The following is a 25,348-nucleotide window of genomic DNA, read 5'->3' on the forward strand; positions in this document are numbered from 1 at the left end:
TTTAAAAAAAAAATCAGTCACTACTGTAACAGCTAATGTGTCACAATTTTTTACTTTAAAAATGCTGTACTGTTGCCAATATATTTTTAAAAATTATACAGCCAGGAAGGTCAAACCGTGCCTTGTTATCACTAATAACCAGCTACGGCTATCTGAAAAGCTTGGGAAAAAGGTTTTGCTCGTTAGATGGGTTCAAGGTTACTGAATGAGATAATGTTGCCAATTTCACCTCCTTCCTCTGAAATCTAAACGAGTTGGGATCGCAGTCACAACTTCCCCACTACAGCGGACTTTCATGAAACTTAAAGGAAAAGTGACCTCACCTCAGGTCTCTTTTGACCTCTGTGTGTCAAACACTAAATTCATTTTTTAAAGAGAAGCAAAATCCTTGCTTAAAAAGGCTAAAAGACTTCCAGTGTTTGGATTTAACGTTCTTCAATCTACTCAGCCTCCGAACACCCTTCCAACCCGACGTACCCGACCGCGCAGAGTTATGACGGGAGAAGGCAGGAACACGCAGAGCGTCGCTCCAAGTTTACCCCTGAGGAGTCAGAAAGCCCTAACGAACAGCCGGTTAAGACTACGGGTGGGGGCTGCACACTTCCCTGTGTCTCGAGCCCTACTGCCTTCCTACACCTTGCCCCGCCGGAGAAAGCGGGGACTCCTGCGGCGCCTGGTCCCTGAAAAGTCGAGCATGTGCCTGACAGCTCCCGGCAACCCTGGCCTGGCTTACCTTGAGGACCGGGGTCAGGTACTCAGCCACTTCCAGTGCCTTTCCCTTCACAGTATTAATCACATTCTGCATCCTGGGGCCGGAGTAGCGGCCGGCCCCGCGACGGGATGGAAAGTGCAGCCGTGTCAGGGGCCAGGGAGTCAGAAAATGTCCTCGCTGCCACCGACTCGCATCAGCACCCGGCTGGCAGCACCCGAGGGGACGGGACGCGACGCGACGGGACGGGCGGGACGAGGGGGCGGGGCGGCAGGCACAGCGCGCGAAGACGGGGTGCGCGATCCTCGCACCCCAGGCAGCCCGCGACGGACCGGACCCAGCTGTCACCCAGCCGCGAGGGAGGGCAGCGGGGCCGAAGGGAGACCTGAGGTGAGAAGCGGACGCACACGCACCCCTCGCCCTCTGCGAGCTGTCTGTCCTCGCTTTGCTTCACTCGCGCCCCTTCCGGCTTCCCTTCCTTCTCACTCTCTTGCCGTAGCTGCGCCGCCACCGGGGCCTCACGTGACACTAGACTCTCCCGGCACGTGACGTGAGAAAGGGGCCGGGCTGGGGCGGGATAAGCCGCTTCTCCCCTCCTTCCGGAAGCGTAACACTGAACGTGCCTGCGCAATGGGTGTCGGGTCCGCTTTTTCCCAATCCGGACGTAATCGTGGTTTTTGTTCTGCAATAGGCGGCTTAGAGGGAGGGGCTTTTTCGCCTATACCTACTGTAGCTTCTCCACGTATGGACCCTAAAGGCTACTGCTGCTACTACGGGGCTAGACAGTTACTGTCTCAGCTCTAGGATGTGCGTTCTTCCACTAGAAGCTCTTCTGAGGGAGGTAACCGCGCCCCGCGGGCAAGGAATTGCGCCTGCGTCTGAGGGGAGGGTGCGCCAGTGAAGAGCCCTACTGCGCATGTGTGACTAGAAGGGTAGTCCCTGACTGTGAAGGGAAATCTGGCCCCCTCCTGTCGGGGAGGCGTCCTGTAGGCGTGCGCCCAATGGGGCTGTCAGTATTGGCATTTCTCCCCACTCCCCGCAGGCTCTATGCGCTATTCCTACAGTACGCTGGGAGGCTTTGGGCAAGTTACTTACCCAACCTGGGGTTTAGTGTCCTCAGCCTATCAAAAGAGGGCCTTAGATTCATTGATTTCTACGATCTCCTCCATTTCAAACACTAACTAGTTCAGTAAAACTTTACAGCAGTGTTTCAGATATTTCCATTTTGGTCGTTATTGTAATGAAGTCTGTCCTAATAAGCTTTTTCCTCCGAGGGAAAAGAGGAGGAAAATACAATTCTGAAAGCCTTATCTTACAGCAAAATTATTTACTAATAAGAGTAAAAGCGAGGCCGGGCGCGGTGGCTCACGCCTGTAATCCCAGCACTTTGGGAGGCAGAGGCGGGCGGATCACAGTCAGGAGTTCGAGACCAGCCTGGCCAACATAGTGAAACCCCGTCTCTACTAAAAATACAAAAATTAGCCGGGCGTGGTGGCGGGCGCTTGTAGTCCCAGCTATTCTGGAGGCTGACGCAGGAGAATCGCTTGAGTCCGGTAGGTAGGGGTTGCAGTGAGCCAAGACCGCGCCGTTGCACTCCAGCCTGGGTGACAGAGCGAGACTCCGTCTCAAAATACATAAATAAATAAAATTTAAAAATAAAATTCAAAATTGCTTTGAAGAATTCTTTTCTGCTGTTGCAAAGTGTCATTTGCTCACCTGCTACCTTTGTCAGCAGGTCTAATCTGGTTCTACGTTTTCTGTCTCCAGAGTACTCCCTCTTATCAGATTTTCACTTTCCTTTTGTCATAGTTTCTTTATGCCTCAACTTTCTTGGTGCTGATATAGTCATAGCCAAAATTTTTTAAAAATTCCTTTTTTGTCCTCACGATCAATGGTATTTGCGTTTAGGGTCTGCCAACAAGGTCGTTCATGAAAGTGTTTTTCTCTTTAAGGTAATTAAAAAACAGTGGAATGGAAAAACAGTGCTGTAGTCATCCTGTAATATGCTCCTTGTCAACAATGTATACATTCCTGCTAGGTGCCATATTCATTGCTTTAAGCTCAAGTCGCATCTTACTAGTGAAGTATTCTGCCAATGAAGGTAAGTTAAGACTTGGTATATGCATGGAGCACTTCCATCTAATCACACATCTCTCTCTTGCCTTTGGTTCTGTTATATATAACATGGAAATAATAATGCCTTTTGCTTCATGTGAGTGATAAAGCATATTTAAATTTGATTATTTAACCTTGCATTCCTCAACAAGAAAAAATGTTTGATAATGGATGAAATGTGAGTCAATCAGATACAAAAATCAAACCCTTTGGTGAAGAACCAGTCGTAACATTTGACTGTTAATTCAATCAACAGGTGTTTCTGGACCTATAGCAAAATGTGTAATTGCGCCTTATTTTGAAGTAGAAGGATATATTTGTTTGGTCACTTGGCATTTGTGAGGTACTTACTATTGTAATTATTGTATCAATGGTAAGGTGTCAGCATTATATTGTGCGGTCATATTGTATCAACAGTATAAATTATAAGCTTTGATAAGTATGTATTTAAGAAATCTTTTTTTATGTAGGGATTTAAGCAAACACTTTAATTCCACAAAACTGTATTGAGTACTTCTTACTAGTTATTGAGTGAAGGGGTGGGTTGCCCCTCCACATCTGTGGGTGTTTCTCGTTAGGTGGAACGAGAGACTTGGAAAAGAAAGGGACATAGACAAAGTATAGAGAAAGAAAAAAGGGGGCCCAGGGGACCGGCGCTCAGCACACGGAGGATCTCTGCCAGCCTCTGAGTTCCATTAGTATTTATTGATCATTATTGGGTGTTTCTCGGAGAGTGGGATGTGGCAGGATCATAGGATAGTAGTGGAGAGAGGGTCAACAGGTAAACACGTGAACAAAGGTCTCTGCATCATAAACAAGGTAAAGAATTAAGTGCTTTGCTTTAGATATGTATACACATAAACATTTCAATGCCTTAAAGAGCAGTATTGTTGCCCGCATGTCCCACCTCCAGCCCTAAGGCGGTTTTCCCCTATCTCAGTAGATGGAATATACAATCGGGTTTTACTCCGAGACATTCCATTGCCCAGGGACGAGCAGGAGACAGATGCCTTCCTCTTGTCTCAACTGCAAAGAGGCGTTCCTTCCTCTTTTACTAATCCTCCTCAGCACAGACCCTTTACAGGTGTCGGGCTGGGGGACGGTCAGGTCTTTCCCTTCCCACGAGGCCATATTTCAGACTATCACATGGGGAGAAACCTTGGACAATACCTGGCTTTCCTAGGCAGAGGTCGCTGCGGCTTTCCACAGTGTTTTGTGTCCCTGCGTACTTGAGATTAGGGAGTGGTGATGACTCTTAACGAGCATGCTGCCTTCAAGCATTTGTTTAACAAAGCACATCTTGCACAGCCCTTAATCCATTTAACCCTGAGTTGACACAGCACCTGTTTCAGGGAGCACAGGGTTGGGGGTAAGGTTACAGATTGCAGAACAAAATGGAGTCTCCTATGTCTACTTCTTTCTACACAGACACAGTAACAATCTGATCTCTCTTTTCCCCACAATTGAGGACACATACAATCATGATATGACCTTTAATGGTCTACTACTTGGAGAGTCAGATGTGTACCCAAGTCTCTACTGCAGTTAACATTTACCTGCCAGGCACTAGGCTAAGTATTAGCAGCAGGTTCAAAGTGCATAAGATATAGACCTTGTCCTCAAGACTTAGTTTATTAGGAGAGACATGAATGTAAACACATCATGAAAATCCATTATAATAACTGCAATAATTGATATATCCTGAAGATGCAGAGATTGTCTAGAGGATAAAGTTATATATTCTGTTTGGTAGGGGATGATGTGGAGTTCAAATGGATCAGAGAACACTTCGCTGATTAGAAGTCAGTTGATCCACTAGAAGTCAAGGTGAACAAGGGGATTCAAAACAGAGGCAACAGCCTGTAAAAGGGAACAGAGGCATAAAAAAGCAGGATATGTTGTGAGAATATGTAGTTTGAAATTACCAAGCAAAAAGTTTAAGGACTCGTAGCCAGGCACAGTGGCTCATGCTGTAATCCCAGCACTTTAGGAGGCCAAGGCCGGCGGATCACTTGAGGTCAGGAATTTGAGACCAGGCTGGCCAACATGGTGAAACCCATCTCTACTAGAAATACAAAAAATTAGCTGGGTTTGTTGGCGTGTGCCTGTAATCCCAGCTATGAGGGAGACTGAAGCAGGAGAATGAACCCGGGAGGCAGAGATTGCAGTGAGCCGAGATCATGCCACTGCACTCCAGCCTGGGCAACAGAGCAAAACTGTCTCAAGAAAAAAGAAAAAAAAAAGTTTAAGGACTCAGAAGAAAGAGAAGGAGTGGTTGGCTGGAGAGAGGTTGGTAAGTCTCAGATTTTTAAGGACTTCATATTCCATGGTAAGGAGCTGGGACCTTAGTCTCTAGGCCAGTCTGAGGGATAAGGGATACTTGAAGGATTATAAATAGGAGAGTAAAATGAGGGACTGTTATGGTAGCTGGATGGCAGTGGAAAAGACAGGAAGCTCAATAGCCAGTTAAGGGGTTATTGCAAAGTAAAGCCATAGGTGATGAAGACTAACTTAGTGTTTTGGAAGTAGTAAGATAAATAAGGAGTATTCAGAACATAGAAAAGACAGGATTTGGAGAATGTATTGAATATGAAAATTAAAAAAGATAACATATAGCTCCAAGGTTTCTGGTTTGAATGCTGAGTGGATTGATGCTGTTCTTAGCTGAGATGGAGACTATTAGGAGGAAGAGTAGGTTGGGCAGAGTTTGAAAAGATTGTAGTTGAAGAGGTCAGGAGCTATGTCCCTACTGCAGTTTTCTGCAGTATCTGGCATGTCATGCACATGAGGGAAATACCAATTATATGAATAAATAGGAGGTAGGTTTTCGTTTGGATATTTATAGTGGGCAATAAGTTAAATGTTCTAGAATATAGATTTGGGGACATTAATGTCAAATTGATATTTAAAACTTAAGGAACAGAGAGAGGACTCATGCAGAATGAGAAAATAAAGAGGGCCAAACTCCGAGGAATGCCAGCATTTAAGTGACATGCGGACACCAGAAAAGCATTAAGGAGACATCATTAGCGAGATGGGATAACTAAATGCACATGACTCATAGAAAGGAAAGAAAGTTTGAAGACTGAGAAAGAATGGCAACATCATGATAAGCTAAAGATTAAAGGATACCCTTTAGAGTTAAGAATGAGAATATGTTTGATAATCTCAGAAAGGAGTTAGTTTCAGATATCAGATTACTTGGAGATAAGACCTGAATGGAAAGTGAGTAAAGGGCAGATAAAGAACGTTGATACTGTTTCAGGGAGAGATGGAGAAGGTATGGTAGCTAGAGGAAGTAGTATTTTATATTTTGTTTTTCAGATGCGAGAGTTTTGAGCATGTTTGTAGGCCAAGGGCAGTAAGCCAGTTAGTAGAGAGGAAGATAAAAAAGATACACTGGGTGTGGTGGCTCACGCCTATAATCCCAGCACTTTGGGAGGCCGAGGCGGGTGGATCACGAGGTCAGGAGATCAAGACCATCCTGGCTAACACAGTGAAACCCCATCTCCACTAAAAATACAAAAAATTAGCCGGGCGTGGTGGCGGGCACCTGTAGTCCCAGCTGCTTGGGAGGCTGAGGCAGGAGAATGACGTGAACCTGGGAGGTGGAGCTTGCAGTGAGCTGAGATCACGCCATTGCACTCCAGCCTGGGCAACAGAGCAAGACTCTGTCTCAAAAAACAAAAAACAAAAACAGACAAACAAACAAAAAGATACACTAAAGCCAAAGGAAATGGAGCCAAGTATCTGAGAAGGGAAGATTTGTTTTGAGTTGGAGTCTCGCTCTGTCTGGAGTGCACTGGCGCGATCTCAGCTCACTGCAACCTCCACCTCCCAGGTTCAAGCATTCTCTTGCCTCAGCCTCCCGAATAGCTGAGATTACAGGCATGTGCCACCATGCTCAGCTATTTTTTTGTATTTTTAGTAGATACGTGGTTTCACCATGTTGACCAGACGTGGTTTTACCATGTTGGCCACTCCTGACCTCAAGTGATCCACCTGCCTCGGCCTCCCAAAGTGCTGGGATTACAGGCATGAGCCACTGCACCCAGCTAGAAGGGAGGGTTTTAAAGGGGACATTGGATTAATAGTCGGGCCTTAGCCCCTTCCTCTGGGGCTGAAGGGAAACCAGTGAATGCCATGTAGAAAGGTATGTTAGTGTGGGCAGGAGATGTGTGGAGGGAAATCACATACCATGTTGTCATATGGTCTGGGATCGGCCGTGAAAGGACTGCAAGAAAACCACTGAAAAGCAAGAACAAGCTAAAGAACAGTGACAAGGGTTTGAAAGTTATAATCCAAAGTCCCCCCTTCTTATATGCACATGTTGGCTTATGTGTATCATGATGGATCATGAGAAGTATCATTGGAGGATAACAGAGTGTGAGTTAAGTCTAGCATTTAACTGAGAAAAAGGAGATGTTTTGACTATGCTTTGAATGATGGGGTAAAGTTGAACAGGCAGATATTTAAATTCAGGTGAACATTTATTAAGTGCCTGCTAAGTGCCAGGTATATGAACGTGACAAACATGGTCCATTTCTTGTAAGGATCTTCCATTCCATTTCACTTCACACACTTCCAATGAGACAAGTAGGGCCACAGAGGTTTAGAGGTAGTGCTATAAGAACAGAGATGAATAAAGAATTGATTCTGATTAGTTTGAGAAGGTCAAGGGAAACCACAGGAGAGTGGAAGAAAGTGTTCTGGATAGACAGTGTCCACTTGGCTTTTTTTCCCTACATTTGGCCAATTTTGGTTTAATGTGACTGAGAGAAGCAAGCAAATGTCTTCAAAAGTGGGGAAAATGCATTCCTGAAAATAGTACCCAATAAAGTTTATGTTTATCCTTGGCAAAATTGTAAAGCGAGTTGTTTGTAAGCATTTAGAAGAGACAGGTAACAGTTAAGATGAAGTCATACCAACCAAACCTCACTTCCTAATTCTATTGATTTGCAGTTTAGGATGTAGCTTTCCAACTCATCAGTGGGTTTGGATGTGTCCAAGTATTTCCTCTCGGCCCTAAAGGTAGCAGAGCCCTAGGCCAGTTGCCTCTTGCCTTAGATAGTTTCCTTCTTTACCTCAGTGTACCATTTATCCCAGAGTGCCAAACAAATATTAATGTTTTCTGTGTGTACCGTGATATAAAACAGATTGGAAAACTCTTAAGGGGATGTCATAGACAGAGTGTACCTCAATTTTAGCAAGGCAAAGAAATCACAAGAAGAATTATGAGCTGAGTAATAATTCAGCAGGTCAGTTCATAGCTGTTGCATGAGTCGGTGTTGATTGATGGTCAATTTAGCAGGCAGCCTCTGATGCCATGCCACAGAGCTTTCTTTGCCCTTAGTCCTAGCCTCCTTAATGTATTAGCAACTTGGATGAAGACATGAGAGGCTGTTTAACAAATTCAAGGATAATAAAAAGCCAAATGGGATAGGGATAGCTAATACATTAGGTGAATTGATTAAAAAATCCAAAGGAGCAAAGGCAACTGGAAGAAACTTAATATAACCAGTAGTAAATCCAGCTTTTAAATTTTAAAACAATTATGTTATACTGTATATAAACATACATGGAATAAAATATATAGTTAAAAAACATTTCTGTTACATTTCAGAAAACAAGTATGATTATCTTCCAACTACTGTGAATGTGTGCTCAGAACTGGTGAAGCTAGTTTTCTGTGTGCTTGTGTCATTCTGTGTTATAAAGAAAGGTAAGTCTTGAAATGGTACTATATACTTGTTAATCATAGGACCAAAAAATGTTAGAACTGGAAGGAACATTTTGTATCATTTAGCTTAGTCCATTAAATTTTATATGAGGAAGCTAAGATACAAACATAAGTATGTTTTAGAGGTGGAGAAACAAGCTCAAAGAGAAAGTGTTAATGCAGAGCTGCATAGGAAGGGGAGGAGCTGGGACACCAACTCATGTTTCCTAATGCCCTTCCTATTACTCTATCTTGTTACTTGTTCTGTGATAGTTTCATACAGTAAGTTAGTTTTTATTCAAATTAAAGATTTTCTAAATCGTGCTAACTTGAGATGTATCATATTTCAAAATAGTTCCCATTTCCTGCAGGGAAGGTAGCATAGTGCACAGGCATCAAAGAGACTGTTCTGGGGCAGATTATTTTCTCTGAGCTCCAGTTTTCTGAGCTATCACATAGGGATACTAATTCCTTTCTCAAATGTAAAGTATATAGCCTTCCATGGAATGTATATGCTGTTTAATATACATTAATTCTTCACCTTAGTTCCCCAATTATTGCGCCTCCGCTCCCTCCCTCTGCCTCTTTCATATACCTTCACACATGAGGTAAACGTAAACTTTAGAGCATTGAAGTGTTTGCCCAGCAAGATGTCTTTTCATATTCCAGGGTTTCAAACTTTGCAGTTTCTCGTTAGTGACTACTTTTCTTAATCTCATAAAACTCAATGCATTATTTGCAGGGCCTTAAACTGCCTTTGTTTTCTTTTTGTTTTACATTCTCTCTGCTACAGTGCCTAAGTTTTTAGAAACCTAGAGATGGAATAATAACTGACAGGATTACTAAAAGTTAACTTTCTCTAGTTCCATATATATAAATTTCGATTTAGTATCCCCCTTTCCTGATTTGCCCTGGGGGGCAAAAATTCCAGTATGAAGCCTTGATTTTTTTTTTTTTAACTTATTTTAACTTGTTGATCTCCCTGTTGGCCTTATGCTCTTACAGCAGCAAGAGAAACCACATATTTATTCTGAGTTGCCTTAAGTAATACTTCTGTTATCTCAAATTAACAGGAATTAGGATAACCAGTAGTCCTAAGGTTGTTGCTGATTGTCAGTGATGAAACTGGTGGGTTGAAGAGAGACAGTAATGAAATGGAGGCACGTTTATAAAGCTCCCTTTAAAGAATTGTATCAGTAATCAAGTGCAGTGTAATTTCTCTAAAAATGTGGGCATTCTCATCAAGGTCATTTACACCGTGTTTCTTTCTAAGATCATCAAAGTAGAAATTTGAAATATGCTTCCTGGAAGGAATTCTCTGATTTCATGAAGTGGTCCATTCCTGCCTTTCTTTATTTCCTGGATAACTTGATTGTCTTCTATGTCCTGTCCTATCTTCAACCAGTAAGTAAATATGAAAAAGAAAATACCATTGAAAAGATACAGAGAAATAAATCCCAGAATTTTTTTTTTTTTATCATTTTTGTTGGCATTGTTAGTTTCTCATTGTCCTCACTGGCCTTCCTGAGATTTCCCCAGAATTATCTGAGTCCTGAATTATCAATATGCGTGCCAGGTTCTCTTAAATGGTCAAGATTACTGTATTAAACTGGGCTGACTACCATGGGGGAGTTGCTCCCTAGACCAAGAAATCTGAAGCCACCTCTTTTTATGTAACCCTAATTAGTATGCCTATTTTCTGAGACGTCCTGTGGCCACTAACCTCTAATTATCTCAGCATCCAGGACCTCATCCAAGAAAACTTCCCTGATTAACTCAGAAAGTTAAACACTCAATGTACCTTTCTTACACCTGTTTTAATGTAGTTTATATGAATTTTATTTGTATGGTTTTCTTTTCTGTTAGTCATGTCATTTAACCAACAAATTCTTCAAGGGTAGGGATCATGTCCTCCCAACTAGAAATGCCATCTATAACTGATAATGCTGGAAATACTTCTCATCTTTCTTGGCATCCTTTGTGTCAGTTTAGAAAGCCATTAGTAATCCGAGCTGGAGTTTGGTTTTTCTGCTTTCACTTATTACTCAGTTTGGGTCACAATAGGTCACATGTATATTTCCCTTTAATATTTTATAAAATGAAGATTTCTATTGCCTTTATTGCCAAAATGTGTTTTAAATTTCTTTAAAAAGTAAATTCAGGCATTTGATTATAAATAGGATTTCTATTGCTACCAGTCTTCTCTGTGAAGTTTCTTAAATATAAGCAAATCAGAGTGGGATGAAAAGGAGGGCTCAAGATAGAACTGTATTAGCCTGTTCTCACACTGCTAATAAACACATACCCAAGACTAGGTAATTTATAAAGGAAAGAGGTTTAATGGACGCACAGTTCCACAAGGCTGGGGAGGCCTCACAGTCATGGCGGAAGGCGAAAGAGGAGCAAAGTCATGTCTTACATGGCAGCAGGCAGGAGAGCTTGTGCTGGGGAACTCTCATTTATAAAACCGTCAGATCTCATGAGACTTACTCAGTACCATGAGAACAGTATGGGTGAAACCTCCGCCATGATTCAGTTATCTCCACCTGGCTTGGCCCTTGACATATGGGGATTACAATTCAAGGTGAGATTTGGGTGGGACACAGCCAAACCCTATCAAGAATTATAGTAGAAAACAGGTGTTTGACTTTCCACAGTTTTTTTTTTTTTTTTTTTTTTTTTTTTTTGAGACGGAGTCTTGCTCTGTCGCCCAGGCCGGACTACGGACTGCAGTGGCGCAATCTCGGCTCACTGCAAGCTCCGCTTCCCGGGTTCACGCCATTCTCCTGCCTCAGCCTCCCGAGTAGCTGGGACTACAGGCGCCCGCCACCGCGCCCGGCTAATTTTTTGTATTTTTAGTAGAGACGGGGTTTCACCTTGTTAGCCAGGATGGTCTCGATCTCCTGACCTCATGATCCACCCGCCTCGGCCTCCCAAAGTGCTGGGATTACAGGCGTGAGCCACCGTGCCCGGCCGACTTTCCACAGTTTAGAAGCTGTGTAACTAGGCAGGCCCAACTGCTTTAAGTTTCAGTTACCCCCTCTATGAAATAAATAATAATAATAATAATAATATACTAGTTCAAAGGCAGGGAACTGGGCCAGGTGATCACCTGAAGTTTTCTTTGGCTCTGTAATGCATGTTGCTAATAAGTGTCCAGTCCACCTAGGATCTGTTCTCTCCTAAATTCTTCCATTTTTGAGAATTGCTGTCCCCAACAAAATTATGCAAATTCAATACATTTTATTGTATTTTATCACAGATTCACTCTAAATTTGTGTCTCTTTTCTGTGTCCCCCAGTACCAAAGCAAAATGGCAACTTCCTTATTTTTCTTCCAGCTTATTGTTTTGCTCTTCCTTCCTGATTGTGAACAACCATATATCTTACAGAATAAAACACATGCATACTCTGTGTATTGCTGTGCCTGAGCCTATTGAAGGAATTAAATAGAGATGCATGGAATGTTTGGGCCAAAGAGCTCTGATGTTTTTATTTTATCCTCTTGCATGGAAAGAGTATTCAGAATTTTCAGAATTCATCAAGCCGTCAGGCTGCATGGTTAGGCACTTTTGCACTGCCCTTAATGTGATTGATCAAGGCCACTATTTCCACACTTCACAGCCACTTTCCTCTTTTCCTCTTACTCATCTCCTAACTAGGGGTTCACAGGCATTTGCCTACAGAGAAGTACACTGAGAAAACCTTAAAATGGTGGTTCCCATAAGAATGTAATAGAAAAACAACAATGTTATATTCTTGGAGTTGTTGCCATTTTTCATTGAGTTTTATCTTTAATTTAGCTTCATATTAGCCATGTTTGTTTTAATTAGTGGGTATATATGACTGTTAATATCTTTTGGGGTTTAATCACCTTAAAGTGATAGCAAGCAGGAAGGCAGGGTGAAGTACATCCTAAGATTTGCATTAAAAAATTATTAACTATTGTCAGATCTAATTATGGGCAGCAATGATGGAATTTCATGCTTTCTGAGCATAATGTATACATGTTCAGATTAATACTCTCATGTGTGAAATAGGACTGAATTCGTAAAAACAAATGGTTTTAAAATCTGGCTGATACATTTCTAAGTGTTTAGAACAACTTGAATCAGTGCGCAGGGCTGTCAAGTATGAGTTTGGTATTGAGTTACTGCAGTTCAACCAGGAAAATTGATACAATTCCTAGAATGGTAAAGATGCTTAAAAAAATCTATACTTCAGTTTTCTTACTATATTAATGGGCCATACAGTACCTGCCTTCTATGTGACCGTAGAAACAGTGTTAAAAATCCATAAGGCGCTTTGAGAACTTTGAAAAGTAGGCTTCATAAGCATAGCAACTGTCATTTCTAAACCTAAACCTTTAGAATTTATAAGTAATTTCAGATCTGTATATAAAGATTATTTACACAGGCAATGCCTGGACAATAATTTGATCATATCTACGTAAATTTGACAAGCGACAAAACTGGAATTTAATCCTTAGTTGAAATTGCTACCTTAATAACCCCTCTGTTTTTTGACCAAAAAGCTTTTTTTGTCAGGTGAACTGCCAAGCTAAGACATTTCTGAGGTCAGTACTTCATTTGGATTGTAACTCTATCTTCTCTTTCTTTCTAGGCCATGGCTGTTATCTTCTCAAATTTTAGCATTATAACAACAGCTCTTCTATTCAGGATAGTGCTGAAGTAAGTAACTTGCTGTGAAAACATATATCATACTTTAAAATAACATAGCCCGGTTTCAAATGATATACCCAGAACACTGAGCCGTCAGAATCCCAAAGCCAGGATTTTGTTCCTAATTGACTTTGTGTACTGGGCACGTTTAAGCCATGTAGAAAGCAGCTCCAGTGCTAGTCCATCTAAATCCTCTGTGATCAGATGAATGAAAATGTCTTGAGCATCTTAAAAATAAGATAATTGACTGTGTTATAATTAGTATTTTCATATTTAGTGCCAGATTTTCAACAAAGAATTAATGAGCTTTTTATGCAAAATCTTTCTGCACTAATAGGGAAGCAAATGGTTCCTAAGATTGTTAATATATTTGTAATTTGTAGTTTGGAGATGATAGATAATGGCCAATTTTTTATTAAACTATTTGAGATGAGGACGTGATTTAAGCACTAATTAGCAGAGTGTGTGAAGAATCTAGTCAAAATTATAGTTAAGAAGGATAGTTTTTTAAACTTTTAAAAATGTTATCACCAGTTTTTACTATCTCCAAGAGGACCGTTGAATAGTATAAACATTTTTAAGTAAATTAAGCTCTCTTCAAAGCAAAAGCCAGAGTGTCCTAAGGCAGGAAGATGATACAGGATCTGGATACTTAACTTCAGTTTAATTTCTTACTTAATGATAATGATTAAAAAATAAAATTAATTTCTTATTAGATTTGTTTTTTTTAAATTTTACATTATCTTTTTGATTTATTGATTCTCAGTGTGCTGTGTGATAGTATGTTCTTTCATAATTTGTGTATATGAAAGGGTGACTGGCTTGGTACAAAGATTTAATTTGTTGAGTCCATGATATACTTAATATATAAATTATATAAGATTCCTGATGTATTTTCTTTTACCCTGAGGAAACATTTAATTTGATAGTTAATGTGAGAGATAAGGAAAAAGTGAACATTACATTTAGCCCAGTTTAAATGTTAGAGTACATCGAAGTTTGTTCTACGTATCTGTCAATTTATTTGTGAATTGTGAAAATAATTCTTTAACTAAAAAAAAGATATTCCAAAAACATTTTGAAGTCTTTGAAATCAGTTTGAATCTCACTTTGTAGTATAAAAAGTTGACTTTTGAGAAAAGGTAAGCAAGCAATAATATTTGTATATTGATTCCTGTGATAGATTAGCGATGTACTTCTGTGAAGATAAAATGGTTCCAAGACCATTTCCATATTCCAAGATGATAAAAGGATCACGATTTAATAAGGGAGTACAGGTCTCAAAAACATGTATTTTTAAAGTGTTTGTCATTTACTTTAAATGAGTACAGATGGTATTATACTGAAGTTGTATAATATAAAAATATTACATCAAAATTACATCAATTTCAAACTGAATTTACTAAAGACTAAAAGTATGTATTGCCTGACTTGAAATTGGCCAGTAGCTTTAGTCCTATCCTATAATAAGTATTCCTTGTTAAATTTTTAAGCATTTAACTATTTGTATTAAGAAAGTTCATTCTAAGTTTAAATCTAAATCTATTTATACTATACATTTTAAATATTTGCTTTTAATACTAGTTATAATATTGATTGCATTTTGCTAATTTTAATAATAACTAACACTGGTATGAATTAAAGTTCAAAAAAAATTTCTACATACTTTCTTATTTTCAGAGGAATAATAATGATTCTTAGACATATATTTGCTTTGTTGTTAACATCTCTCTGTTTTGAGTCCTTGGAAAATAACGTGCTAATAATCTAATATTGTCTTTTATGAGAATGCCTTTTAAGTATTTTATTACTTTTTTTTTTTTTTTTTTTGAGACAGAGTCTTACTCTGTCACCCAGGCTGGAGTGCAGTGGCACCGTCTTGGCTCATTGCAACCTCCTCTTCCCGTCTTCAAGCAATTCTTGTTCCTCAGCCTCCCAAGTAGCTGGGAATATAGGTGCACACCACCACGCCCAGCTAATTTTTGTATTTTTAGTAGAGACAGAGTTTCACCATTTTGGCCAGGCTGGCCTCAAACTCCTGACCTCAGGTGATCTGCCCACCTTGGCCTCCCAAAGTGCTGGGATTACAGGTGTGAGCCACTACGCCTGGCCTTATTACATTTTTTAACTCTTTTTTCTAATTGTGAAAAAAAGAAAAAAAATTTGCCATCTTAATTTTTTTTTTTGGCAGTGGGGGTGGGTACGGAGTCTTGCTCTGTCGCCAGGCTGGAGTGCAGGGTTGCAATCTCAGCTCACTGCAACCTCCGCCTCCTGGGTTCAAGTGATTCCCCTGCCTCAGCCTCCCCAGTAGCTGGTGTTACAGGCACGTGCCACCACGCCTGGCTAATTTTTTGTATTTTAGTAGAGACAGGGTTTCACCTGTTGGCCAAGATGGTGTTGATCTCCTGACCTTGTGATCCACCTGCCTTGGCCTCTCAAAGTGTTGGGATTACAGGCGTGAGCCACCGCGTCCAGCCCATCTTAACAATTTTTAAGCATACAGTTTAGTAGTGTTAAGTCTATTCATGTTGTGAAGTAGATGTTGAACTCTTTCACCTTACAAATTTGAAACTCTAAGTCCATTAAACAACTCTCCTTTCCCCGCCTCACCCTAACCCCTGATAACTACCATTTCACTCTCTTTTTTTCTTTGAATTTGACTACTTTAGATTCCTCATATGAATAGAATCATACAGTATTTGTCTTTTGGGACTGGCTTATTTCACTTAGCTTAGCATATTGTCTTCACGGTTCATCCATGTAGCATGTGACAGGATTTCCTTCCAATTTTTAAAGCTGAAAAATATCTCATTGATGTATGTGCTTTTATTACATTTTGAAGTCAACTTAACTTTGTTCTATTTTGATCTTTTTGGAGTTGGTGGTGTGCATTGGTTTTCCCTATTTAATTTACTCTTTGTGAATCATTTGATGGTCTTTTTGCCCTTTGTGATTAAATTTTGACCTAGGAGTAGCAGCTTAATAGTTCTATCACATATTCTTTGTTTGCCACTTTTCATTTAGAATATTAAATCTGTTGTCTTATACTTGATTGTATCAGAACTATCAAATACCTTTCCCATACAGGTAAAGAATACAAGGCTACAAAATAAAATAGAATAATTTTTAAAAAAAATTTTTTAAGAAAAAAAAAAATAATTTTTAAAAATTCTTAAAAAGAATATGAGGCTACAAAAGCAGGCAAAAGTAAGTCTGGTAACTACTGCAGGGATTACTTGGAGGAATTTGAAAGTGGGAAAAAAAATATTATCATCTAAATGTCCTATTGTCTTTTCTAAAAAGAATAAAATACCTAAAGGCATTCTCATAAAAGACAATATTAGATTATTAGCATGTTATTTTCCAAGGATTCAAACTTTATGTGAATGTATAGATTTGTTCTTTGAAGTATAAGCCACAATATTAGATTATTAGCATGTTATTTTCCAAGGATTCAAACTTTATGTGAATGTATAGATTTGTTCTTTGAAGTATAAGCCACTGGTTCATGGTAGAAACTGGTAGCAGGCATTATGCCTTGTAGCTTGCTTCCCTGGTTTGCTTGTAACCTAAGCAAAGTTGCACAATTTTGTTTGCTTTAGCTTTGGGAAATAATACCAACCTAAACATTGAGATTGGAGGCAAAGGATAACCAAGACCAGCACTTATTTTTACCTAAAAAATGTATATAAGTTTCTCTGATTTCCTCAAAGAGAAGGTATGGAAAAAAATTATTTAAAAATACATTTTGAAACATGGTGGATGTCTAGGAAGTAAGGGTAAAGTTTAGTTACTGTCTGAAACAGCAGAAGAACAAAGAGAAGTGCCACTCAGTAGTAGTACAAGCATTTCTCCAGAATCATTCATTCAGTTGATAAATTTTCTCTGTGACTTCTCATTATAAATCTGCCCCTTGTCACTCTCTTTGTGCTACTAAGAAATGTGTTTTGTACAGTTTCTTGAGAAAACAATTATGTGAGTCTTTCCATTTAATTGTCTTCATACCCTGCACTAGTTTACTACCACCAAATATAGAAGTGCTCTTATCTGACACAATTTGAACCTATTGGTTAGTTGCTAGGAAAACTTATAGTGATGAATCATATACATAAGTATATATAGAAAATATCTAAACAATTTATTTTAACTTAGAATATGTAAATATACATGTATTCATCATTCTTCTAATGTTGAACTAAAGCCCCCCCTTTGAGTATGTTACTGATTGAAGTTCCTTAGCTCACCTATATGTTATTAGAAAACAGCTTTTTATCTTCTGAATGATTTACCTTCACTTAGTCTTCCCAAAGTGTTCAACTTAGTTTTCATAAAAACAGCTTCTTGTCTTTTACTCATAGTTTATCATTTATGTAATCTTTATGTAGTGACAACAGTGAGGTCACCTGGCAAAAACATGTTTAGGAACAGAGATTCTGTGGGCAAACAATTCACTTGGGAGGAGAGGCCCTCAGGAAGAGTAGCCTTCTAGCCACAGGCATTCGGCTCTGAGCATCCATTACTATGTTTTACCGAGGCAGTGGAGAGATGAGTGAAGTGAGCTTCCACTGTTTTGTATCAGTTAAACTGAAGAACAAATTGGGCCTAGCAGACTCAGTTGTCATTTCAGATTGTCAGCTGACTTTACAGGGTAATTTATTAAGCTTTATTTTCTTTCCTAAAAATCTACCATTTTTAATTTTTAGCTTAATCCTTAATAAATTTTACGTTCCTTAGAGCATTACCTTGAATGAGTAATTGTTTACAGAAGGTGTTGTTTAGCTTAAGGATTTCTTTCTTTTTTCTTAATATTAGTGAAAAATGTATAGCTCTAGAAAACTTTTAAAGGAACTATAGATTATATCATTGCCTCACTTATATGCGATTTGCAATAATTAATTATGGAATTTTTTTTGTAAAATGGACACCCATTTTTTATCTCTGTGGTCATTCTATTTGTTTTCTGCTACTTAATGTGTATCAGCTGCACCTTCAGAAATTTAAGTGGTTAGTTCACAGTTTCTCACCTGATGGCATAAGGCTGCGCTAACGCCATCAGTAAGTTCTAGATCAGGCTATTTGAAAATTACATACATATGAGAAAGCATATAATAGTGTGCACAGGTATGCTGCTATCTAGGCTAGTCTGTGCATTTAGCAGTTTCAGAGCATGAAGCTTTATATGCACACAACTTCCTATATGTGCATCCTGGAAACTTAGAATTATACTTAGGAGGTGTGATGATGCAGAAGGAAGACATACAAAACCATGGATCCGATCCCTTCTTTAGTGTTTAAGTACATGACCTTAGGGAAATCTGTTAGGTTAACTGTTTCCTCCCTTAGAGCGGAAATGCCTAAGTGTATGGTAGGTGCTCAATAAATGCTCCAATGATATAAAAATTCTCACTTCTGGTTCCCACCTATTGCTTTACACTTCTGCATTTTTTATGTTCCTCTTTTTTTCTCGGTGTTCCCCTTCTTTGCCTAACTAACTGATCTTCAAACATCAAGATTTTGTTCCCCCAAGAGGCCTCCTGACAACGCCAATGAAAGTGAGATATTCCTCTTTGTCAACATTGTACATTCTTGTTGCCTTTGCATAGAGACTCTTCCCTCTGCCTGGATATATCACCACCTCCTTTTTCACATGATAAACTTCAATTAATTTTTCATCTTCTAGCTCAAGTGTCATTTCCTCTTTGAAGCAATACCTGACTATTTACAGATTGTAGTGTTCCTCAGTTTACTCCACTTGTCCCATTAATCACTTTTCACACATACTGAAATCATTTAGTTTCATTGTTTTCTCACTGTTAAAGCATAAATTCCTTGAACATGGAGATAAGTCATCTTTATCGCCCCAGGTTGCCTGGCACGTAGTAGCTGCTTATTAAACATCTGTTGAATAGAATGAATCAGCAAAATGGAATAATAATAGTACATGTCCTTTATTTCTCACAAGTTTGTTGCTAAGGAAAATAAACAAAGGATTGTTAGGACTTTGTAAACTGAAATACTGCCCAAAATAACATTTTTCTTTGGCTTGTCAGCCAGCAGTTTGCTGTTTAATGCTCTACGATTAGGACATGGATCTAGAGCTAACCTTCTCCTTTAAATCTTTTTTGGGTTATGGACACCTTTAAAGATTTGACAAAGCTTTGCAGGATCTCCTGCATAGGGGGAAATTCATCTGTACACAACATTTCTGAAGCTCATCTACATTCTTTCTGGTTCTGGGAAACCAGGTTGAGAATCTCTGCTGTAACTTTATAGTACAATAAAAGTTACTGTGCCAGAGGTCCAGGATACCTCTAGAGGTAGAAAGGAGGCCATGTTAAACTTGTAGGTTAAAAGGAAACCTACACAGAAGGGAAATGACTTGAGCAGCCTTAGGGGATAGGTGTTATAAAAATGAATTAAAACATTAAATTTGAGAGACAGGCACCAACAGTTTTTCTCTGAACTTGAGTGGTAGGAAATGCTAGCAAAAACTGGGTCCAGTTTATTCAACCAAATACTCAAGTGTCTGAGTTTTCAGTAGAAACTATTGATATGGGGGGAAAACAGTAGTAAAATCTTTTTTTTCATCTTTGAACAGGAGGCGTCTAAACTGGATCCAGTGGGCTTCCCTCCTGACTTTATTTTTGTCTATTGTGGCCTTGACTGCCGGGACTAAAACTTTACAGCACAACTTGGCAGGACGTGGATTTCATCACGATGCCTTTTTCAGCCCTTCCAATTCCTGCCTTCTTTTCAGAAGTGAGTGTCCCAGAAAAGACAATTGTACAGCAAAGGAATGGACTTTTCCTGAAGCTAAATGGAACACCACAGCCAGAGTTTTCAGTCACATCCGTCTTGGCATGGGCCATGTTCTTATTATAGTCCAGTGTTTTATTTCTTCAATGGCTAATATCTATAATGAAAAGATACTGAAGGAAGGGAACCAGCTCACTGAAAGCATCTTCATACAGAACAGCAAACTCTATTTCTTTGGCATTCTGTTTAATGGGCTGACTCTGGGCCTTCAGAGGAGTAACCGTGATCAGATTAAGAACTGTGGATTTTTTTATGGCCACAGTGCATTTTCAGTAGCCCTTATTTTTGTAACTGCATTCCAGGGCCTTTCAGTGGCTTTCATTCTGAAGTTCCTGGATAACATGTTCCATGTCTTGATGGCCCAGGTTACCACTGTCATTATCACAACAGTGTCTGTCCTGGTCTTTGACTTCAGGCCCTCCCTGGAATTTTTCTTGGAAGCCCCATCAGTCCTTCTCTCTATATTTATTTATAATGCCAGCAAGCCTCAAGTTCCGGAATACGCACCTAGGCAAGAAAGGATCCGAGATCTAAGTGGCAATCTTTGGGAGCGTTCCAGTGGGGTAAGTTTGTGAGGGTGTTCCTTTTTGCTTGTTCTTCCCAAATTTAAAGCATAGTTAATTCAAGGAAAAAAATAAAATCAGTACTGATTTGTCAAAGAATGTATTGGATCTCTGACTTTTAAAACCGAATCAACAAACATTCCTTTTACTCCTGATGTTTGCAAGGGCTCATAATCAATGCTGTCAGGTGTAGAGAAAAAGTATAAGTCAATCTCAAGGACCTTATGTGTTACTTCATAGAATACTATAGAATTATACACCTGGAAGATACCTCACAGGTTGTCTTGTCCTGTCTGCATAGTTTTACAAGAAACAGGCAAAATGGTTTACAGATAATAAATGAAAGAACTGGTACACCTATGTCTGACTCCAAGTCCCTTTCTCTTTCTTTTCCACCATAGTTAGGGAAAATAAGCTCATTTGTGAGAGAAGTTGGCCTTTCGTATTAGTAAGTCCTGTTGAATAGAAAGCCTGGCTCCTCAGTCCTCCCTGTGGTTATTCATAAGCCAGTATGCCAGAAGGGCAGGGTTTGTTTATTTCACTAGAAAGGTAGTTTTCAAGAGGATCCTTGCAAGGCGAGTAGGAGGAAAATATTTTCTAGAAAAATGCTTATGCAATTATTCCGAATATCTCCCAGTTGCTTGCAATTGTTTTGGAAGGCTCTGTCAATCATTTTATTGGCAAGTTAATGATCTCTTTGAAGATTCAATTAAGGAGTTAAATATACGTTTAAATAAGTGAAATAGACATCTAGCTTTAGATTTACAATTTTCTTGAGCACACAAAATATGAAATATTTTATACAGTGAACATTTCACTCTTTGGGAAAAATAATCTATTGCTTAATAACATTCATAGCAGAGCTTCCCTGGGTGTAATGCCTCTGTCATGATTCAACAGATTCTAAAGATGAAAAAATTAGGATCTTGAGTTTCGGATACCCTGCTCTTAGCCAGAGTGTATATCCAGAAGTCTTGTATTCTTTTCCAACAGCCGATAATGCCATTTGCTCTAATTTTTAAGCAAAAGAAAATCTATATAGGTAACAAGGCCTATGAAGACCTATTTCTGTAACCTTTAATCATTTTTCTGCAAGACCAGCAGGTGGTGCTCCTCACTTTGCTCATGTTAGCTTTGAAATTTTGAGTACTGAGTACACTTCACTTTTTTATCCTCTCATACTTCTATAGTTAACTTTCCAAGAACATAAGTATTTATTTAATTTGACCAGATTATATCTATAGCTTAATGAGGTAAGACCAGTGATTTGTTAGTAAGGTTTTCCCTTTAAAAATGCTACATTTCCAGTTTTGTTCTAATTACTGCTTTCATGTTTCCTTTTAGGATGGAGAAGAACTAGAAAGACTTACCAAACCCAAGAGTGATGAGTCAGATGAAGATACTTTCTAACTGGTACCCACATAGTTTGCAGCTCTCTTGAACCTTATTTTCACATTTTCAGTGTTTGTAATATTTATCTTTTCACTTTGATAAACCAGAAATGTTTCTAAATCCTAATATTCTTTGCATATATCTAGCTACTCCCTAAATGGTTCCATCCAAGGCTTAGAGTACCCAAAGGCTAAGAAATTCTAAAGAACTGATACAGGAGTAACAATATGAAGAATTCATTAATATCTCAGTACTTGATAAATCAGAAAGTTATATGTGCAGATTATTTTCCTTGGCCTTCAAGCTTCCAAAAAACTTGTAATAATCATGTTAGCTATAGCTTGTATATACACATAGAGATCAATTTGCCAAATATTCACAATCATGTAGTTCTAGTTTACATGCCAAAGTCTTCCCTTTTTAACATTATAAAAGCTAGGTTGTCTCTTGAATTTTGAGGCCCTAGAGATAGTCATTTTGCAAGTAAAGAGCAACGGGACCCTTTCTAAAAACGTTGGTTGAAGGACCTAAATACCTGGCCATACCATAGATTTGGGATGATGTAGTCTGTGCTAAATATTTTGCTGAAGAAGCAGTTTCTCAGACACAACATCTCAGAATTTTAATTTTTAGAAATTCATGGGAAATTGGATTTTTGTAATAATCTTTTGATGTTTTAAACATTGGTTCCCTAGTCACCATAGTTACCACTTGTATTTTAAGTCATTTAAACAAGCCACGGTGGGGCTTTTTTCTCCTCAGTTTGAGGAGAAAAATCTTGATGTCATTACTCCTGAATTATTACATTTTGGAGAATAAGAGGGCATTTTATTTTATTAGTTACTAATTCAAGCTGTGACTATTGTATATCTTTCCAAGAGTTGAAATGCTGGCTTCAGAATCATACCAGATTGTCAGTGAAGCTGATGCCTAGGAACTTTTAAAGGGATCCTTTCAAAAGGATCACTTAGCAAACACATGTTGACTTTTAACTGATGTATGAATATTAATACTCTAAAAATAGAAAGACCAGTAATATATAAGTCACTTTACAGTGCTACTTCACACTTAAAAGTGCATGGTATTTTTCATGGTATTTTGCATGCAGCCAGTTAACTCTCGTAGATAGAGAAGTCAGGTGATAGATGATATTAAAAATTAGCAAACAAAAGTGACTTGCTCAGGGTCATGCAGCTGGGTGATGATAGAAGAGTGGGCTTTAACTGGCAGGCCTGTATGTTTACAGACTACCATACTGTAAATATGAGCTTTATGGTGTCATTCTCAGAAACTTACACATTTCTGCTCTCCTTTCTCCTAAGTTTCATGCAGATGAATATAAGGTAATATACTATTATATAATTCATTTGTGATATCCACAATAATATGACTGGCAAGAATTGGTGGAAATTTGTAATTAAAATAATTATTAAACCTATGTCTTGTGTTGCCACTCTGTCATTTAGGGTGGGATGTAGAGTACTTTTAATCTTAAAAAATAGAGTGAGACAAAAACCTACACAACTTTTAAAACTTTCTCTTTAAGTAGATCTTTACTTCTAACAATAACAAAGGCATTTTCATCAGTTATGTGAAATACGAAGATTATATCTATTATGGCGATTTATTTTAAAGGTAAGGGAAATGAGGTACAGCAGGACCTTTCTAGGAAATGTGGCATACAAAACATTTTTATCTCATAAAACATAAAAATTACAAAAATATTCTTACAAAGGTATCACATACAGAATACATTAAATAGCAGATTTCAGTAGTGCATGGAGATTGATTTTCTTATTTACGATTACTTTTTTTCCTCACCTTCCTCTTTGGAAAGCATTTTTTGCACAAAGTTAAGTTTACTTATGTTAACTTGCCACTTAATGAGAGAGGAAGAGAAAGAGTGAGAGCACAAGATCATGTGCTGGAACTAAAAATGTTCTATTCAACCCAGCAATCCCTCTACTGGGTACCTACCCAAAGGAAAATAAATCGTTTTATCAAAAAGACACTTGCAGTGGTATGTTTATCACAGCAGTATTCACAGTAACAAAATCATGGACTCAACCTAAGTGTCCATCAGTGGTGCCTGGAATAAGAAAATGTGGTACATATACACCATGGAATACTTTGCAGCCATAAAAAATAATGAAACCATGTGCTTTAAAGCCACATGGATGCAGCTGGAAGCCATTATCCTAACTGAAATAATTCAGAAACAGAAAATCAAATACCACATGTTCTCACTTATAAGTGGGAGCTAAACAGTGGGTACATGTGGACACAGGATTCCAAAGTGAGAAGGGTGGTGTATTAGTCCATTCTCATGCTGCTACAAAGAAATACCCGAGACTGGGTAATCTATAAAGAAAAGGGGTTTAAATGACTCGCAGTTCTGCATGGCTGGGGAGGAGGCCTCAGGAAACTCACAAGCATGGCTGAAGGCGAAACAGAAGCAAGCACCTTCTTCACAAGGCAGCAGGAGAGAGAGTGCCAACAGGGGAAATGGCAGATGCTTATAAAACCATCAGATCTCATGAGAACTTACTATCATGAGAACAGCATGGGGGAAACTGCCCCCATGATTCAATTACCCCCACCTGGTTCCTTCCTCAACACCTGGGGATTATGGGGATTACAATTCAAGATGAGATTTGGGCGGGGACAGAAAGCCTAATCATATCAGATGGGAAGGACATGAGGGTTGACAAAATATGTATTGGGTACAATGTTCACTGTTTGAGTGATGGGTCCACTAGAAGCCCAAACTTCACCATTATGCAATGTACCATATATACGCAATGTAACAAACCTGTACATGTACCCCTTCAATCTGAAATAAAAGTTGTTTTTTTTTTTAAGATGCGAAGTTCTGATATGTATCCACTGGAGGTCTTATGGGCACCACTGGTTTAAGAAGGTCAGAAGTCTGGAAACCATATCCTACATGCCCCTGAAATGAGGATAGTATAACCTGGAGAGGAGCAATTGTCATGTGAAAAAGGAAGTAGACATTTTTCTGCTCTGGAGAATCAAACTACAGTAAGATTTATATGGTAGTGATTATTATTTTATTATAATGAGGACTTTGCCAAAATAGGTTACTTTTCAACAGTTAAAAGAACCTTCCTGAAGAGTAATAGAGAATAGTAGTAAATTATCACTGAAGTTTTTAGGAAGAGATTGTGTCATCAGGATGTTTTAGAAGAGATTCCTTCATGAGTGTAGAAGTTGGACTGATTTCTAAAGTCCCTTTCTATTTTTAGATTCTCTTCTGCACAGTTATGACCTACACATAATGCACTGAATCTGTTCCCTTGATAGTTTCTGCATAGGCTTTGGTTGTGCCACAA

The 25,348-nt window shown here is 38.9% G+C and overlaps 2 protein-coding genes across 11 annotated transcripts in view, besides 4 other annotated features; one reads left to right on the plus strand and one right to left on the minus strand.

Annotated features, from left to right (window-relative positions):
- Positions 1-810: an enhancer, noted in NCBI's record as "H3K27ac hESC enhancer chr3:112279571-112280380 (GRCh37/hg19 assembly coordinates)". NCBI's record gives its function as "activates a minimal SCP1, AML or CMV promoter by ChIP-STARR-seq in primed H9 embryonic stem cells {active_cell/tissue: H9 hESC(primed)}" and the evidence as "EXISTENCE:reporter gene assay evidence [ECO:0000049][PMID:30033119]".
- Positions 1-1,239, minus strand: part of ATG3 (autophagy related 3) — a 29,453-nt gene extending 28,214 nt beyond the window's left edge. For 2 of the 3 annotated variants that reach the window (NM_022488.5, NM_001278712.2), the window contains exon 1: positions 734-1,239. In NM_022488.5, the coding sequence (NP_071933.2) occupies positions 734-805 (72 nt within the window). In that variant the 5' untranslated portion in view covers positions 806-1,239. The remainder of the gene's footprint in view (positions 1-733) is intronic. The other variant, XM_011513074.1, reaches the window with a different exon arrangement.
- Positions 597-24,856, plus strand: SLC35A5 (solute carrier family 35 member A5). Of its 8 annotated transcripts, NM_001348910.2 has the most exons (8): positions 1,322-1,550; positions 2,662-2,810; positions 8,448-8,546; positions 9,817-9,947; positions 13,166-13,233; positions 19,823-19,983; positions 20,456-20,603; positions 21,948-24,856. In NM_001348910.2, exons 2-7 carry the CDS (start codon positions 2,681-2,683, stop codon positions 20,572-20,574), a joined length of 708 nt encoding a protein of 235 aa, NP_001335839.1. In that variant the 5' UTR covers positions 1,322-1,550; positions 2,662-2,680; the 3' UTR covers positions 20,575-20,603; positions 21,948-24,856. The 8 variants fall into 8 exon arrangements, with proteins under 8 accessions (NP_001335835.1, NP_001335834.1, NP_001335839.1 ...); NM_001348906.2 differs by lacking the exon at positions 1,322-1,550 and adding an exon at positions 597-751 and having other exon boundaries at positions 19,823-20,603; NM_001348905.2 differs by lacking the exon at positions 1,322-1,550 and adding an exon at positions 957-1,099 and having other exon boundaries at positions 19,823-20,603.
- Positions 811-1,620: an enhancer, noted in NCBI's record as "H3K27ac hESC enhancer chr3:112280381-112281190 (GRCh37/hg19 assembly coordinates)". NCBI's record gives its function as "activates a minimal SCP1, AML or CMV promoter by ChIP-STARR-seq in primed H9 embryonic stem cells {active_cell/tissue: H9 hESC(primed)}" and the evidence as "EXISTENCE:reporter gene assay evidence [ECO:0000049][PMID:30033119]".
- Positions 3,241-4,050: an enhancer, noted in NCBI's record as "OCT4-NANOG-H3K27ac hESC enhancer chr3:112282811-112283620 (GRCh37/hg19 assembly coordinates)". NCBI's record gives its function as "activates a minimal SCP1, AML or CMV promoter by ChIP-STARR-seq in naive H9 embryonic stem cells {active_cell/tissue: H9 hESC(naive)}" and the evidence as "EXISTENCE:reporter gene assay evidence [ECO:0000049][PMID:30033119]".
- Positions 4,051-4,860: an enhancer, noted in NCBI's record as "OCT4-NANOG-H3K27ac hESC enhancer chr3:112283621-112284430 (GRCh37/hg19 assembly coordinates)". NCBI's record gives its function as "activates a minimal SCP1, AML or CMV promoter by ChIP-STARR-seq in naive H9 embryonic stem cells {active_cell/tissue: H9 hESC(naive)}" and the evidence as "EXISTENCE:reporter gene assay evidence [ECO:0000049][PMID:30033119]".

This window comes from Homo sapiens, chromosome 3 (assembly GCF_000001405.40).
Source record: "Homo sapiens chromosome 3, GRCh38.p14 Primary Assembly".
Taxonomy (NCBI): domain Eukaryota; kingdom Metazoa; phylum Chordata; class Mammalia; order Primates; family Hominidae; genus Homo; species Homo sapiens.